Below are 15,672 nucleotides of genomic sequence, written 5' to 3'. Positions count from 1 at the left end.
ATAACACCATTTTGTCACATGTAACATAAGAAAAAAATAACAGTGCTGGTGACTGGATTTGAAGGAATTGGTGGGTTTTCAAGAAAGGTATTTAAAACAGACTCCCCTTGGGGCTCAGATCTGGGGTCAGTGTTTGGCTGGGCAGAGGGTATCCTCCATCCCTCCTGGAGATGCAGGGATTCACACTTTTCTCCACTCAGTGCTGCTTTCCCTCAAAGACTTCTTCGTAGGCTGGTGCGGTGACCTTAGTGGATGCTCTCTCTCTGGCCTAAAACACGGGGCTCCTCTCTTGCCCTCCTCTCTTCTTGCTCTCAGGTGGGGCAAACAAGCCCCTTATGGGCTAACTCTCCCTCTTCTTCCAGGTGCCTGGCTTTAGGCCTCACTAGTCTGACACTCCAAGCCTTACTCCTTTCTGGTTTTACCTGTTTCCTGAGCAGATTGTCTTGACAATCTGCTCAATATCTCAGCTCCTGCCTCGCTCTTTTCATTCCTCTTTCTGTAGCCCAGGTTCCTGCCCCCAAACCCTCACCTGGTACCCTGATTCTGGCTGTCATCTTGCCAGCCACTCCTCTGACTCCCAAAGCCATGGGGAGCCCCATCCCAGTGCTGTCTGCTTGTTGGAAAATCCTAATGTCACCTGTTGACTGTTCTCAGGGCCCAATCAGGTCCTGTTGTAGTTTTCACACATCGTTTCCTGGCCGCCAAACTGGATTTACTTTTAACACTTAACAGAACATTTTTGATCACAAGTGACAGAAAATGAACCCACACTTGCTTAAGCTAAAAAGAGGATGTATTGACTTGCAGCTGAATAGTCCAGGGGCTAGACTATTTTTAGGCACAGCTGCATAACAAATGATATCATCAGGACTCTGTCTAGCTCATTTTAAAAATAGACTTTGTTTTTTAGAGCAGTTTTGGGTTTATAGGAAAATTGAAGGAAGGTACAGAGTGCCTCCATAATCCCCTCTTACTGTCCCCTCCCTGTGCACACAGTTTTCCCTATTTTTAACATCTTGCATTGATGTGGTACATTGATTACAATTGAGGAAACAATATTAGTTCATTATTATTAACTAAAGCCCATATACGCATTAGGGTTAGCTCTTTGTGTTGTATAGTTATATGGGTTTTAAAAAATTCAGAAAGTCACTTTTCCACCATGACAGTATCATATAGGATAGTTTCACTGCCCTAAAATCTCTGTTCTCCACCTATGTCTCCTTCCCCCGTACCCCAATGGCCACCACTGATCATTTTATTGTCTGTATAGTTTTGCGTTTTCCAACATGTCATAAAGTTGGAATCATACAGTATGTATCCTTTTCAGACTGGCTTTTCACTTAGCAATATGCATTTAGTGTTCCTCCATGTCTTTTTGTGCCTTGATAGCTCATTTCTATTTATACCTGAATAATGGGCCATTGTCTGGATGTTCCACATGTGTGTTTATTCATTCACCTATTGAAGGACATCTTGGTTGGTTCCAAGTTTTGGCGAATATGAATATCGCTTCTATAAACATTCACGTGTAGGTTTTTGTGTGAATTCATTTGGGTAAATGTCAAGGACCATGATTTCTGGATCATATGGTAAGCCTATGTTTAGCTTTGTAAGAAATTGCCACACTGTCTTTCAAAGTAGCTGTATCATTTTGCATTCCCACAGGCAGTGAATGAGCATTCCTGTTGCTCTATATCTTCTCCGCAATTTGATGTTGTCAGTGCATAAATTTCAGCCATTCAAGCAAACAATCCAGGGGATAGACCAACTAGAGATAGTTGGATGTCAAACAGTGCCATCAGGACTCTGTCTTGCTCCTTCTGTGTCTCGGCTTTTCTTTCCCCTGGGCCAGCTCCAGTCTCCTGCAGGGATTCACTTCACGGTGTCTCTCATTGGCTTTAGGAATACATGCCCACAACTCCAAGTTCAGCATAAAGAGAATACCTCTTTCTAGCACAAGTTGTAGAACTTGAATTATGTATCTATCCCTAAAACAATTCTTGTGGTCTGGGAAATGAAATATTTTCCCTTTATTCGCTCATTCATTCATTCATTCATTCATCATGAACACTTACTATATGCCAGGCACTGATGATAATTGGTCAGGCCCAAGTCACACATTCCAGGAGTAAAATTGGTCCTCTACCCAAATCCCATGGATGGAGAGCTGAGGCAGTAAGTTTCCCCAACGTGCTGTTATCAGAAGAAAGCTGGATGGATCATGGATGCCTGGCAGGTAAAAATACCTTGTCCTCCACCTACAACTGTGGAGTCTGTCCCCAGCGCCTGCCCTACTCATTGAGTGGGTATAGTTCTATGTATCAGTCCAATTTCCCATTTCTGGATCATTCCAATTTCTCCAAATCCAGCAGTTGGCTGGGGCCTTCCTGGTCAGATCCCAAGGTGGGACACCGTGGCAGATTAGCACTCCCGTCATGGAGCGATGGAGGCTGCTTCTCCTCCTTTTGAATCTGGGCCACCCTGTGATCACTTTACGTAATGGGATGTGTATGATGAACGTTGTTCTACTTCTGGACCTACCCTTTAGAGGACCGGCAGCTTTTACCTTCACCTTTTAGAAGCCACTTGCCATGTTAGAAGTATGAATATCCTGAGACCACCAAGCTGGGAAAAGTGTAAACCATAAGGCTCCAGGTATGTGGAGGAGGAAGCCATGGTGAAAGGGTCCCCTTCAACCCAAGTCACCCCAGCTGATGCACATGCATGAGAGTCAGACAGCCCAGCTGAGTCCTTTCCAAATTCCTGACCCACAAAGTTGTGAGCAAAATAAATTCATTGCCTTAAACTGCTGGTTTGGGGGTTGCTTGTTACACAGCAACAATGTCCAGAACAGACGGCAACTAGTGTTACAATATAATCAATGGAAACTTAGCACACTAACCCAATGGGCCCGATCCATGTGTTGGGGTAATGTCCGAATTCCTTACCTTCCTGAGGCCAGGGCCCAATCCATGTGTCAGGGGTAATGTCTGGATTCCTTACCTTCCCGAGGCCTACAGGTAGTCCCGCAGGTGCTGTTGACCTCATTTTGCATTCACTCCTCTAACCTCCTTTTTTAGGTGGCGTGTGACACGCTTCAGGATACCCAGAAATAGGTTACTGCTGGGAATCCTAAGGGAATCTTTTGGAGTTGAAAGGGTCCTGAGAGACCATCTCATTTTAGAGCTAAGATTTAAAGAGCCCTAAGGAGGTTCAGGGCCTAGACTGTGGTCAGGAGGAAGCCTGGCCTGCAACTCAAGACAACTATCAGTTACACCACTTTCTAGTCAATAACTGATTCTCTAGATAAGTGGGTGAGCTCAGTGGTGACCTAGATAGTGCCTCGTTTTCTCTGAACTACGCCTTATCTTTTCCCTAACTCCCACTCGTAACAGATTTGCTATTCTGAGAGCTTCATCTTATCTCATTTAAGACTAAGATAACCTGCACCCTGGTGTCACATGCGGATTTGGATTCCAATCCAGTCATTTATTACCTTTGGGATGTTGGGCAAGTCACTTAGCTTTTTGGAATTTAAGCTTCCTTTGCTGCAGAATGGGGAAATCTTCCTCCCTGGCTGCTGTACATTTGTACGTGTAAATATAGTAAATTCCAATGAGACCGTGTGTGTAAATTGGTCCTCACAGTGCTGGCACATGGGAAACACTCTAGAGTGGTGGCATTAGCGGCTGCTGTGTCGGGGGAATGAAACGCCTAGAGACCGAGTTTTTATCCATGAATACATGTTGTTCCAAGATTTTCAGCACATTGTATAACATCGTCACCAGTCAGGGGGATGAACTGCATTTGCAGATGGAAAAAAAAATAAATGAACTGAGGCACAGTGCTTGTGGCTGGTACAAGTTTAGCCAACGAAGGAGAGAGAGAGAGAGAGAGAGAGAGAGAGAGAGAAAGCGTGCACGCACAGCACTGCATGGGCCAGGGAAGCCTGGGAAACGTTTTCAGGGAAACCTCTCGATTGGGGAAGGTAAGTTTTTCTTAGGTCATTTCCCTGTGAAAATAAAATGCTTGCTTTTTTGTTTGTTTGTTTGTTTGTTTGTTTTGGAGGCCGAGTCTCTCTCTGTCACCCAGGCTGGAGTGTGGTGGCATGATCCCAGCTCACTGCAACCTCCTTCTCCCAGGTTCAAGCAATTCTTCTGCCTCAGCCTCCCAAGTAGCCAGGGTTACAGGTGCCTGTCACCACGCCCGGCTCATTTTTTGTATTTTTAGTAGAGACGGGGTCTCACTGTGTTGCCCAGGCTGGTCCCCAACTCCTGAGCTCAGGCAATCCGCCCACCTCGACGTTCTGAAGTGCTCCCATGAGTCACTGCACCTGGCCTAAAATGTTTTTTCTATGGAGAGGAAATGCTTTTTTCCCTTCTTCTCCCCTCTCCACTCCTCTCTTTCTCTCTCACCTCCTTTTTCTCCCCATATCATCCCAACTCCCCCTCTGTAATATATGAATAAAAGAGAAGCCCTACAAGCCTAACAAAAGAGCCCACTGTAAGGCAGAGATGAATGGAATCTCTCTGCTTTTTCTCAGAGCGCTGACAAGATCTCTGGCTTGGTGGTGCTCCGAGAAATCCTCTTAGCTCCCTTGTTTTTGCTTCCTTCATTTCTCCTTCCCTTTTCCTTGTCTGTCTCTGGGCTCTCAAGCCTTCATACTCCCCGCCTTCCTCAGGCAGTGAGGTCTGCTGTGTGGCCTTTCCCCAGACTGCCAACAAGGCCGCCTGGTGTCGGCTTCCTATCTGAGTGCTGGGGGACAACATTATCAAGGCTTCAGTGGGTCTCTCTGCAGCTCTAAACCACAACATTCAACTGCTGTTCTGTTTGCATGATTTCACATTGCAGTCATTGAGAATCTATTTTTAGATGACCCTTTCAAAATTCTACTGTCGAATGTGCTGAAATAATACTGCTTGCTTGTGATTGGACATAAATCCCAGGAATATTTACCCCTGGCCAGAGTTAAAGTCACTTTTTGGAAATGATCAGTTAATGATTTATGATGTTTATACTTAGTGAAGGTTTTTCATGGATCTTGGACTCAGAAAATAGCATTGATTTATAGGACCAATGAAGGAGATTGAGTGATAATGTGTTTTTCTTGTTTTTATTTTTTGGTAATGGACTTACTGTTCTTACATAAAGTAGTATTCACTTTAGTGCAATAGGCTGAAGAGTACACTAAGGATAGAGTCTTAATTATGAGTCTATAAGAAAGCCATCCCAAACAGTTTGGCTTGTCCCTTAGATTGAGGCGAACTACTCAAATCACCAGAGGTCTGCTATAAATAGGCTGACAAGTTGATGTTAACATATTGTGTCTTTTAACTTTCATAAGCAACCCAGTAGAATATGAATTTTGGATTCTACCTGTGTTTTTCTTCAGCTCTGCCTGTCTCCTGACTTGTGACTTTGACCTAATGACTTCCTGTCTATGGACTTGTGTCTTGAAAACTAGAGAACAAACTGGAGATCTCTCAGTTCCCTTTCAGCTTGTCCAGTTTAAGGCTGGCTACCATAATATATTCTGGAGGTACATGCTGTTTTAGAGACTTTGCCACACAGGGGGACTGCCATCTTTTAGGACTTCCATCTTTGTTATCTGCTCGCTCCCCCTCTTCTTTTCCCTTTTCCCTTTTCCCAGGCACCATACATAAAATCTCTCATGATATTTTATTGCATTTAACCTATAATCATTCCCTACCTTCCTCTTAGGTTTCTTGTAATAATAAAACATAATAGATACATAATAGCCCTTTGGGACATTTTAGTACTGTAGAGATATAGTAATGTCACTAGGAAATGTAGTCATGCTAACCCCAAATCTTAGGTGTGACCATGGCTACATTTCCTAGAGACGGAGTGTAGACCCCACTCAGTAAAGCTGGACAATCGCAGATCCCTGGGAGTTGACTATGAAAGGCTTTCCAGTGTATGCCCTGGCTCAGAGAGGACTGGCAGAACTCCAGCTACTCTTCTGCTTTAAATTCTATGAAAAGGAGTTTTCCCATTCTTCCTGAACAGTGCAGGCCAATGCTTTATCCCCTTGCAATTGGAGAATTTTTCCTAGAGTCATTCTAAAGCACGCTATCTTTTGTCCTAAATGTTCTTGCTTATCTGTTAATGATGCATTTCACCAAAATGGACCTGAAACCGAAGTGCCGTCTCCTCTACTGGGCAGACAGACATCCTGAGGAATCATCTTGGAGGCCACCAATTGACTTTCAGCAAAGGCCCACCCCAAAATAGCTCCAACAGATGAGTATCTACCACAGGTGTCCAATCTTTTGGCTTCCTGGGGCCACATTGAGAGAAGAATTGTCTTGGGCCACACATAAGATTCACTAACATGAATGATAGCTGATGGGCTAAAAAAAAAAATTGCAAAAAATCTCATAATGTTTTAAGAAAGTTTATGAATTTGTGTTGGGCTGCCTTGAAAGCTGTCCCAGGCCCCATGTGGCCTATAGGCCATGGGTTGGACATGCTTGATCTATCCTATCACAAAAGGCCGTTGGCTCTTGAGGAATAAATTCTGCTTATTTTATCCGCTGGAATGGACAGGACCTCAGAATGGACACCGAATTATGACCTAGTTTTGCAAGAGAAGCCTGGAGACAGCAGGTGGATGACATCTTGCTGGACACCTGCAAGTGTGGCAGCTGATGCAGGCTGGCTCGAGACTCACTCTGCTGACTTGGCAGATTCGGCTGGAACAGATGGGCCTCTATGTGCCAGGGGAGGAGATTGCGTATATCAATTTGTTTTCTTCAGGGGATTTATACAACTGTGTCCACTGCATTTCACTACCAAGGTACTTGACAAATGAACTATTTAAAAGCACAAAGCTCAGTGAGCCAAGATCGCGCCACTGCACTCCAGCCTGGGTGACTGAGCAAGACTCCATCTCAATAAATAAATAAATAAAAGCACAAAGCTGTAAAGTAATGCCAGGATCAGTGGAACATTTATAGACCCAAATTGTCACTCCGCTTGAGCAATGGAGGTGTGCCCTAAGTTCTGGAGCACAGGTCCTGCTCATTCTTAGTAATCACTGGTACAATTCAAAGGTGTCCAATCTTTTGGCTTCCCCGGGCCACATTAGAAGAAAAGGAATTATCTTGGGCCACACATAAAATACACTAACACTAACGATAGCTGATGAGCTAAAAAAAAAAAAAAAACCTCACAAAAAGATTTCATTATGTTTAGGAAAGTTTATGAATTTGTGTTGTGCCACCTTCAAAGCCGCCCTGGACCACATGTGGTCTGTGGGCTGCAGGTTGGACAAGCTTGATTTAGTAAATGCTTCCAACTCCCTATAGGTCAGGATGGGCCAATGTAAGGGCAATATAATTGGGCTGCAGTTGGTGCGGGACAGTTCTGGTGTGGATGAGAGCACCACTCATTATCATGGAAACCAGGCAATTTTCCCCCAGTGGCTTATTAAGCCATGATGCAATGGATCTTTGATTCAATGTGTGGCAGGACATTTATTACCCTTGTTATCGTAACATTGTAATCTCATTACAAATTGATTGGCATTGTTTTCAGAACAAGAAGTTGTATATATTTTTTTTTAAAGGAAGTCCAAATGTGCAAGCTTGAACAAATCTAGTCCCAAGTTTATGTAGGTGTGTTTGGCAGCCCATGTATTAATTCAGTGGCTCAAGAGTTGAACACGTTGCTTCGGTACCTGTTCTCCTCTCAAAGTCCTCTCTAAATACCAGGTGCCCAGAAACTCTTTTCAAGGACATTTGTTGAAAATACTTCCAAAGGGTTTATGCAGTTAATATGGCCAAATGAAAAACCTGTTCAGGGAGAAAATGTGGAGAAGCAGTGTGGTTTGCTGAGAAGAAGATGGGGTCTGGAATCAGACAGAGTTGGACTTGAGTCTTGGCTATTTACTCACTGTTTCATCTTGGGCAAGTTGCATAGTCTCTTTGAGCTGCCAATTTCTCCTTGTTAAATGGAAATGATAAAACCTGCCTCCCAGGGTTGTGAGAGAAATAAGTTAGACAATAGGAGCTGAATTAACCACAGTTTACCTTATCATTATTTTGGACGACCTTTCTCCAGTGCTATGGGTATTTATTCTAATATTTAAAAGCCCCATGATATATCATTTGACAGTATAATTTCCTGGTTGAGACAGACAGACTGGTGTCACTCTACCCTTCATTTAGGAACTAGTTTATCATCATGGGTAAAACAAGCGTATCTTACTGGATATCATTTCTACTTAACATCATTTTAGTCAGGTTTGTATGAAACTTGGTGGCATTTTGTTAACAAAAGATCTCAGTGATCTTTGCATGATGCTGACAAAATTGAAGTAAAATGTGATCTCCGTTGATGAAAAATTGAATCAGATACATTAGATCGACTCTGGGCTGTTTTATTTTGAAAACGCAGGTGAGGTTGATTGCATGTACTATAGCTGATATTCCTTTCTGTGACAGAAGTTATAGTGACAGCCAAGAAAGTTCAAATGCTGTATGCAATTTGAAAATGTATTTGGTTTCTGAATATCTAATATTTTAACATATATAAAAATATGCTATATATTATTATGTATAATGTATTCTATAGACTACATTGTATCTAATAATTATTAGATATAATTATATATTAGATATAATATATAATTATTAGATATAGTGTATTCTATAGAATTATTAGATATATTGTATTCTATAGAATACAATATAAGGTATTCCATAACGTATCATAATTATAATATTATATAATATTAATATAATATTAATATATTCTATAATGTACTATAATTGTATTATATAATATTAATATAATATTAATGTATTCTATAATGTATTATAATTATAATATTATAATACATATAATTATAATGTATTCTATAATGTATTCTATAGAATATATTATGTTATATGTTTAACAATGTTATTAAAGAATATTGTTAATTATATGATATTATTATTATGTATGCCTTCTAAATATTTGTACTTTGCACTCAGACAGTCTATGTTCCCATCAGCAAGAATTCTGTTGTGGATTAACTATGTCAATTACAATATAGAATATCAAGTGTCTTCTAGTTTCATATTTAGAATACCTTACATTGATACAGCAGTTCACAGTTTAGAAATACTTTTACATACATTTGCTTCTCGAAACAGCCCTCTAAAATAGTCCAGAAATATATAGTTATTTCTATTTGAAGATAAGGCCACTTACTGGGGAGCCAGGAAATGAAATGGCTTCTAGTAAATGGCCGAACCAACATTAAAAACAGCTCTTGGAACTCCTGGGCCAATCAATATTTTCCCACCACACGGCACTGCCTCCCTGACAAGTTGATTAATTGCCGATCTTTGGGAGCAACTGGTTTATAGAGTGGAGAAATAGGTCTGCTTCATGTCCTCACGCTTGCTTGCGGGCTTGGAATTAGTCGATACTTGCTGAACGATGATGTCTGTGCAGAGAGATAGCCGTTGTAAGAAAATGAATGTAAAACATCAATAGTGTGATTGAGGTGGTATAGAGAGTAGTTTGAGTTAGGTCATTATCTACTTCACCATAGAAACTGAGGCACTTCTGAGAGTGCAAGGTGTTGTTATTAATAATTACATTGGGACCGCAGGTGGGAATTGTTACTTTTCCAGGGGAAGCAGATGTTCGGTCATCTCAGAAACAGTAGCATCACAGGAGGGCAAACGGTGAAAGCAGGGAAGTAGCATCATGCACTGCTTAACAACGGGGATCTGTTCTAAGAAATGCATCGTTAGCTGATTTTATCGTTGTGTGAACATCAAAGAGTGTACTCCCATAAACCTAGATGGTGTAGCCCACTGCACACCTGGGCTGGATGCTGTAGCCTATTGCTCCTGGGCTGCAAACCTGTACAGCATATGATGGTGCTGAATACTGCAGGCAGCTGTAACACAATGACATTTGTGTATCTAAACATAGAAAAGGTACAGTAAAAAGATGGTATTATACTCCTATGGGGCCACTGTCATATATGAGGTCTGTTGTTGACCCAAACATCATTATGCAGGACATGACTGTGCATGCATTGAGAGATTTAAAAAGTTTCTTGTAAACTCATTTATTTATTGATTTATTTTTTGAGATGGAGTCTCGCTCTGTCACCCAGGCTGGAGTGCAGTGGCACAATCTTGGCCCACTGCAACCTCCGCCTCCTGGGCTCAAGTGATCCTCCTGTCTCAGCCTTCCAAGTAGCTGGGACCGCAGGCACCCACCACCATGCCTGGCTAATTTTTGTATTTTTAGTAGAGATGGGGTTTCACCATGTTGGTCAGGCTGGTCTCAAACTCCTGATCTCAGGTGATCCACCTGCCTCGGCCCCCCATACTGCTGGGATTACAGGCGTGAGCCACCACACCTGGCCTTGAAGTCATTGATTTAATCCCGCGCCCTCACTGGACTGAGAGCTCCACAGGGCAAGCACCTTTTCTGTCTTATTTTTTTAGTACCTGACACCTTTTTAGTATTGACACCTAGGTACTCAATAAATGGACCAATGGATTGTTGGATGTTTGGGTACCATTATCCAAATTTTGGATTTTGGTTTAGACACACCAAAGTGAGCAGGTTCAAAACAAAGTCTGTAATATCCGCCTGTGCCTGCTAAGCCCTCTCCCTGATTCCAGTCATGGTGACAGCACCCCTCTACCAGTTGCTCAAGCCAGAAACCACTTAGTCGGCTTTGATCTTCTGCCTCCACTCCCTCACCCCTAAAGTCACCTCTGCCCCCTGCATCTCTAAAATCTGTCCACTGTCCATTCATGCTGCTACTGGTGTGGTCTAGGTGGGTGACCAACTGTCCTGGTTTGCCCGGGACTGAGGAGTTACCCAGGACATAGGACTTTCAGGGCTAAAATCAGAACATTCCTGGGCAAACTGGGGAGGCTGGTCACCATAGATCTAAGTCGCATAATTTCTCGCCTGGTCTACTGCAGTAGCCTCCGCACAATCTGCTTTCTCACCTATAATCCATTCCTGCCCTGTTGCCAGAAAAATTTTTGTAAACACGAACCAGATCATGCCATTGGTGAAAATCCTTCAAGGACTCTGCAAATCTTCAACACACCACCTGGTCGATCAGGCTTCCATTCATCCTCCAACCTCATCTCTGCATTCTCTCAGCTCCGCTGGTTCCCCAGACACATCATATTCTCTACCTTCCCTCCCTGGGCTTCCTAATGCTCTTGCTCCTATGTGAATTGCCCTGACACCTTTATCTGCCTATAAATCCAATTCTAGCCTTTAAATCCCAGCTCAAGAATATCATCTTGGGCAAGAGTCGGGTCAGGGCACCCTCACCATAGTTCAGTGGTTCTCGTCTTTGGTTTCACATTAAACTCACCTGGGAGAACTTTAAAAAATCCTGATGCCCATGTGACATCTCAGACCATTTCCCATCTCCGGATATGAAACCACCTCAGAGATATTTTTAAAATTTATTTTACTTAAATTTCTGGGATACATGTGCAGAACATGCAGGTTTGTTTCATAGGTATACATGTGCCACAGTGGTTTGCTACACCTATCAACCCATCATCTAGGTTTCAAGCCCTGCATACATTAGGTATTTGTCCTAATGCTCTCCCTCCCTTTGCCCCCAACCCCCCAACAGGCCTCAGTGTGTGATGTTCCCCTCCCTGTGTCCATGTGTTCTCATTGTTCAACTCCCATTTATGAGTGAGAACATGTGGTGTTTGGTTTTCTGTTCCTGTGTTAGTTTGCTGAGAATGATGGTTTCCAGCTTCATTTATGTCCCTGCAAAAGACATGAACTCATTCTTTTTTATGGCTGCGTAGTATTTCATGGTGTATATGTGCCACATTGTCTTAATCCGGTCTATCATTGATGGGCATCTGGGTTGGTTCCAAGTCTTTGCTATTGTAAATAGTGCTGCAATAAACATACGTGTGTATGTGTCTTTATAGTAGAATGATTTATAATCTTTTGGGTATATACCCAGTAATGGGATCGCTGGGTGAAATGGTATTTCCACCTCAGAGATTTTTAAGCTCCTCAGGTGATTCTGGTGCACCCAAGATTGTGAACCACGGGTCTACAGTGAAGCTTCCCTGATCCTATGACTCTTTTTACTTCCTATGCCACTGTGTTGATCCCTCCCTTTATCTGCTCCATACTTATGCCCCCTGACACTCATCACACTACTCCTTGAGGGCATGAACTCTGGCTAATTTGTATTAGCATTCCCACTGCCCAGGACCAGGCTTGGCATCTAGCAAAGGTTTAATTAATGTCAGTAGCATATAGCAATGACCTTGGGCAGCTTACATATCCTTTCTGGACCTCATTTTTCTTTTCCGTAAAATAGGGATAAAAATATTTAACTTGATCAGGTGCGGTAGCTTGCATTTGTAATCCCAGTGCTTTGGGAGGTCAAGGTAGGAGGATTGCTTCAGGTCAGGAGTTTGAAATCAGCCTGGGCAACAAACTGAAATCTCATCTCTACAAAAATGAAAATAAAAAAAAATAGCCAGGTATGACAATGCACATCTGTGGTCCTAGCTACTTGGGAGGCTGAGGTGGGAGGACTGCTTGAGCCCAGAAGGTCAAGGCTGCATTGAGTTATGAATGCACCACTGTACTCCAGCCAGGGCCAAAGAGCAAGACCCCATTTAAAAAAAAACAAAACACATATATCTATCTAACTTGAAGAGTTGAGAATTGAACAACTGACATAAAGTGCCTGGCTTGTATTTTACTTGCTATTCATTACGAGGCAGATTAATAGGGAAGAACATTGTGCCATTTCCCCATCAGGCCTGAATCTAAAGCCTACTCTTGTCAAAAATTAAAGAGAAAAATCTACCCAGAATGAATGCCCACATACTCTTCATCTCATAAGCCAAGGAGGCTGAATAAGATTATGACTTGAAAGTGTTCAGAGGTGGCTGGAGGTCAATGTATGTAGTGTTTTGCTGATGGCTGGACACTGGAAGCACGTGTGTCCCCCCACAGCTGACTGCTTTGCAAGCAGTTTTGCAAATAAATCACCATGCGGTAAGAGGGAAACAATATGACCTCCCAACCCAATATTCTCATCTCTAAGGAGATATCAGGGTGGGGAAGCTGTTGACAAGCTTTCAGTGATGGATAACCCACAAAAATTACCCCTGCTGGTCCAGCTTGACTTCTGCAGCCACTTGGAATGCACACCCTGGGGGTAGTTCTTCTTTCCTTTCCCCTTGACTTTTATTTAGTGTCTTCTGTCTTTATTTTCTCACTGGCTTTATTTTCAAAAATAGTAATTTCTACCGCTGGAGATTAAAAAAAAAAGCACACACACACACACACACACCCCTTATACCAAAGAAAGAAATAATCAAAATGGGAGAAAGATCGTTGCTGGCTATTTTTCAAGAGAGTTGATGGACTGGAGTAAGTTTTGATCAATGGAAAAACTTTGACTAAAAAAATGATGCAAGTGCAGTTGATATTAAAAATGCAAATAATGATCCAAGTCATGGCTTTGAGCCCAGCTCTCAGGCCACCCACAAGCTCACAAGCATTGTGTTGGGTGGACATTTCATTTTACTTTTTAAGTTATTCAAGAGGCTTCCTTACTCCATAAATGTATGGGGGGAGGAGGGTGGCAGTGAATAAGAGACAGAGGGAGAGAGGGAGAGGAGAGAATATGATGATAGGGTTACTGATCACTGGCATACTTAGCTCAGTCCCTTTTCCTTTGTTTGGGATTTAAGAGTTTGCTGTTGAGAGGTATTTTTTATCTTTTTTCCATCTACACAGAACTTTTCTATTTGCCTCAAACTCCCTGAAATCACTTTTTAAAGTTTCTTACTTAAAAATGGGAAGTGAAGTGGGCTATTAAAGCATGGAAATGTGGTGAAGCATCTTGATGTCTTGTTTTAGTGTGGGTTTCCCTAGAAGCCCTGGTGGGAGAGTGGGGAAGTGATTCGAGGAAGGGAAGTCTGTTATTAAGTCAGCTGCCACAGTGGACAACTGGAGCTTAATACCATAGGGAACCTCTAAGAAGAATGTAAAACACATGTCTCAGAATTATCCCACTGGAGGGTGAGGGAGCTGGGGTATTTATACACCAATTCCCAAGAGTCATCAGTTGAGAGCTGCTCCTGGGAGGTGTTAATGGCTTGTCACTTCCAGCCTGTGGATTTCCAGGCTATCCTCTTCCTTGGCTCTAGAAGATGCCCCATGGCACAGACATGCAGCTGCTGACAGTTGCAAGTCCAGGCTGGAACACATTGTAATGGTTAAGATCTAAGAGACGTGGCTCAGGCAGTGTGATGAAAACCCGAGCATGATGGTGTATTTCTAAAATAATACACACCTGTTTTTGAAGGTTAGGGAAAAGTCAGAGTGTAAAGCAGGGGTCCCCAACTCCTGGGCCATGTACTGGTACTGGTCTGTGGCCTGTTAGGAACTGGGTCACACAGCAGGAGGTGAGCAGTGGGAGAGTGAGTGAAGCTTCATCTGTATTTACAGCTGCTCCCCATTACTTGCATTACTGCCTGAGCTCCACCTCCTGTCAGATCAGTGTGGCATTAGATACTCACAGAAGCGTGAACCCTATTGTGAACTGCACATGTGAGGTATCTAGGTCGCTTGCTTCTTATGAGAATCTAATGCCTGATGATCTGTAACTGTCTCCCATCACCCCCAAATGGGACCATCTAGTTGCAGGAAAACAAGCTCAGGGTTCCCACTGTTTCTACATTATGTTGAGTTGCATACTTATTTCATTAGATATTACAATGTAATAATAATAGAAATAAAGTGCACAATAAATGTAATGCACTTGAATCATCCTAAAACCATCCCCACACCCTGGTCTGTGGAAAAATTGTCTTCCATGAAACTGGCCCCTGATGCCAAAAAGATTGGGGACCTCTGGTTTAAAGGACTCTTTAGGGGGGAAGGCACAAGAAAGCAGCTGATAATTTGGGAAACATGGAAAAGTCATTTAATCTGCCCTGGTACTTTCGGGCAATACTTCCTACATAGGATCAAGCCATTTGCAGAAATTTGGCTGTATAGATTTCTAGCTGCCACGTGGCTAGACGTGGCTTCCAGGGGGAAGCATGACATGGTTCTTTATCTTGGAATATTACCCCCAAAATTTAGCCTTGGGGAACCTGACAAATGCTTGACTGTCTTTCAAGTCTGGCTCCATGCTGCACTGTGCTATGGCTTTGGTCCTTTCTTTTCTCAAGCCTGGTGCAGACATCCTGTCCTGCTGCACCTGTTCTGCTCGGCTCTGAGGCAGGCACACAAATAACACCATTGTCCCTGATTTGTAACAGGAGATGCTTCCCACATAGATTTTTATGTGTTCATTTTCCCCGGATTTGACTGCTTTTGGCCAGGCACGGTGGCTCACGCCTGTAATCCCAGTACTTTGGGAGGCCGAGGCAGGCAGATCACTTGAGGTCAAGAGTTCAAGGCCAGCCTGGCCAACATGGCAAAACCCTGTCTCTACTAAAAATACAAAATTAGCCAGGTGTGGTGGTGCAAGCCTGTAATCCCAGCTACTTGGGAGGCTGAAGCAGGAGAATCGCTTGAACCCGGGAGGCGGAGGTTGCAGTGAGCTGAGATCGCGCCATTGCATTCTAGCCATGGCAACAAGAACAAAACTCCGTCTCA

At 42.9% G+C, this 15,672-nt stretch overlaps 1 protein-coding gene across 2 annotated transcripts in view, besides 2 other annotated features; it reads left to right on the top strand.

The window, feature by feature from the left end:
* FAM107B (family with sequence similarity 107 member B) overlaps positions 1–15,672 on the top strand; it is a 256,341-nt gene that overhangs the window by 33,216 nt on the left and 207,453 nt on the right. The gene's annotated exons all lie outside the window — the stretch shown is intronic.
* Positions 494–543: an enhancer, noted in NCBI's record as "active region_3082". NCBI's record gives its function as "activates an Ori minimal core promoter by ATAC-STARR-seq in GM12878 lymphoblastoid cells {active_cell/tissue: GM12878}" and the evidence as "EXISTENCE:reporter gene assay evidence [ECO:0000049][PMID:35858748]".
* Positions 3,349–3,870: an enhancer, noted in NCBI's record as "H3K27ac-H3K4me1 hESC enhancer chr10:14779811-14780332 (GRCh37/hg19 assembly coordinates)". NCBI's record gives its function as "activates a minimal SCP1, AML or CMV promoter by ChIP-STARR-seq in naive H9 embryonic stem cells {active_cell/tissue: H9 hESC(naive)}" and the evidence as "EXISTENCE:reporter gene assay evidence [ECO:0000049][PMID:30033119]".

The sequence above is a fragment of the Homo sapiens genome, chromosome 10 (assembly GCF_000001405.40).
Source record: "Homo sapiens chromosome 10, GRCh38.p14 Primary Assembly".
Lineage (NCBI taxonomy): Eukaryota > Metazoa > Chordata > Mammalia > Primates > Hominidae > Homo > Homo sapiens.
This window is presented reverse-complemented; position numbering and strand designations above follow the sequence as displayed.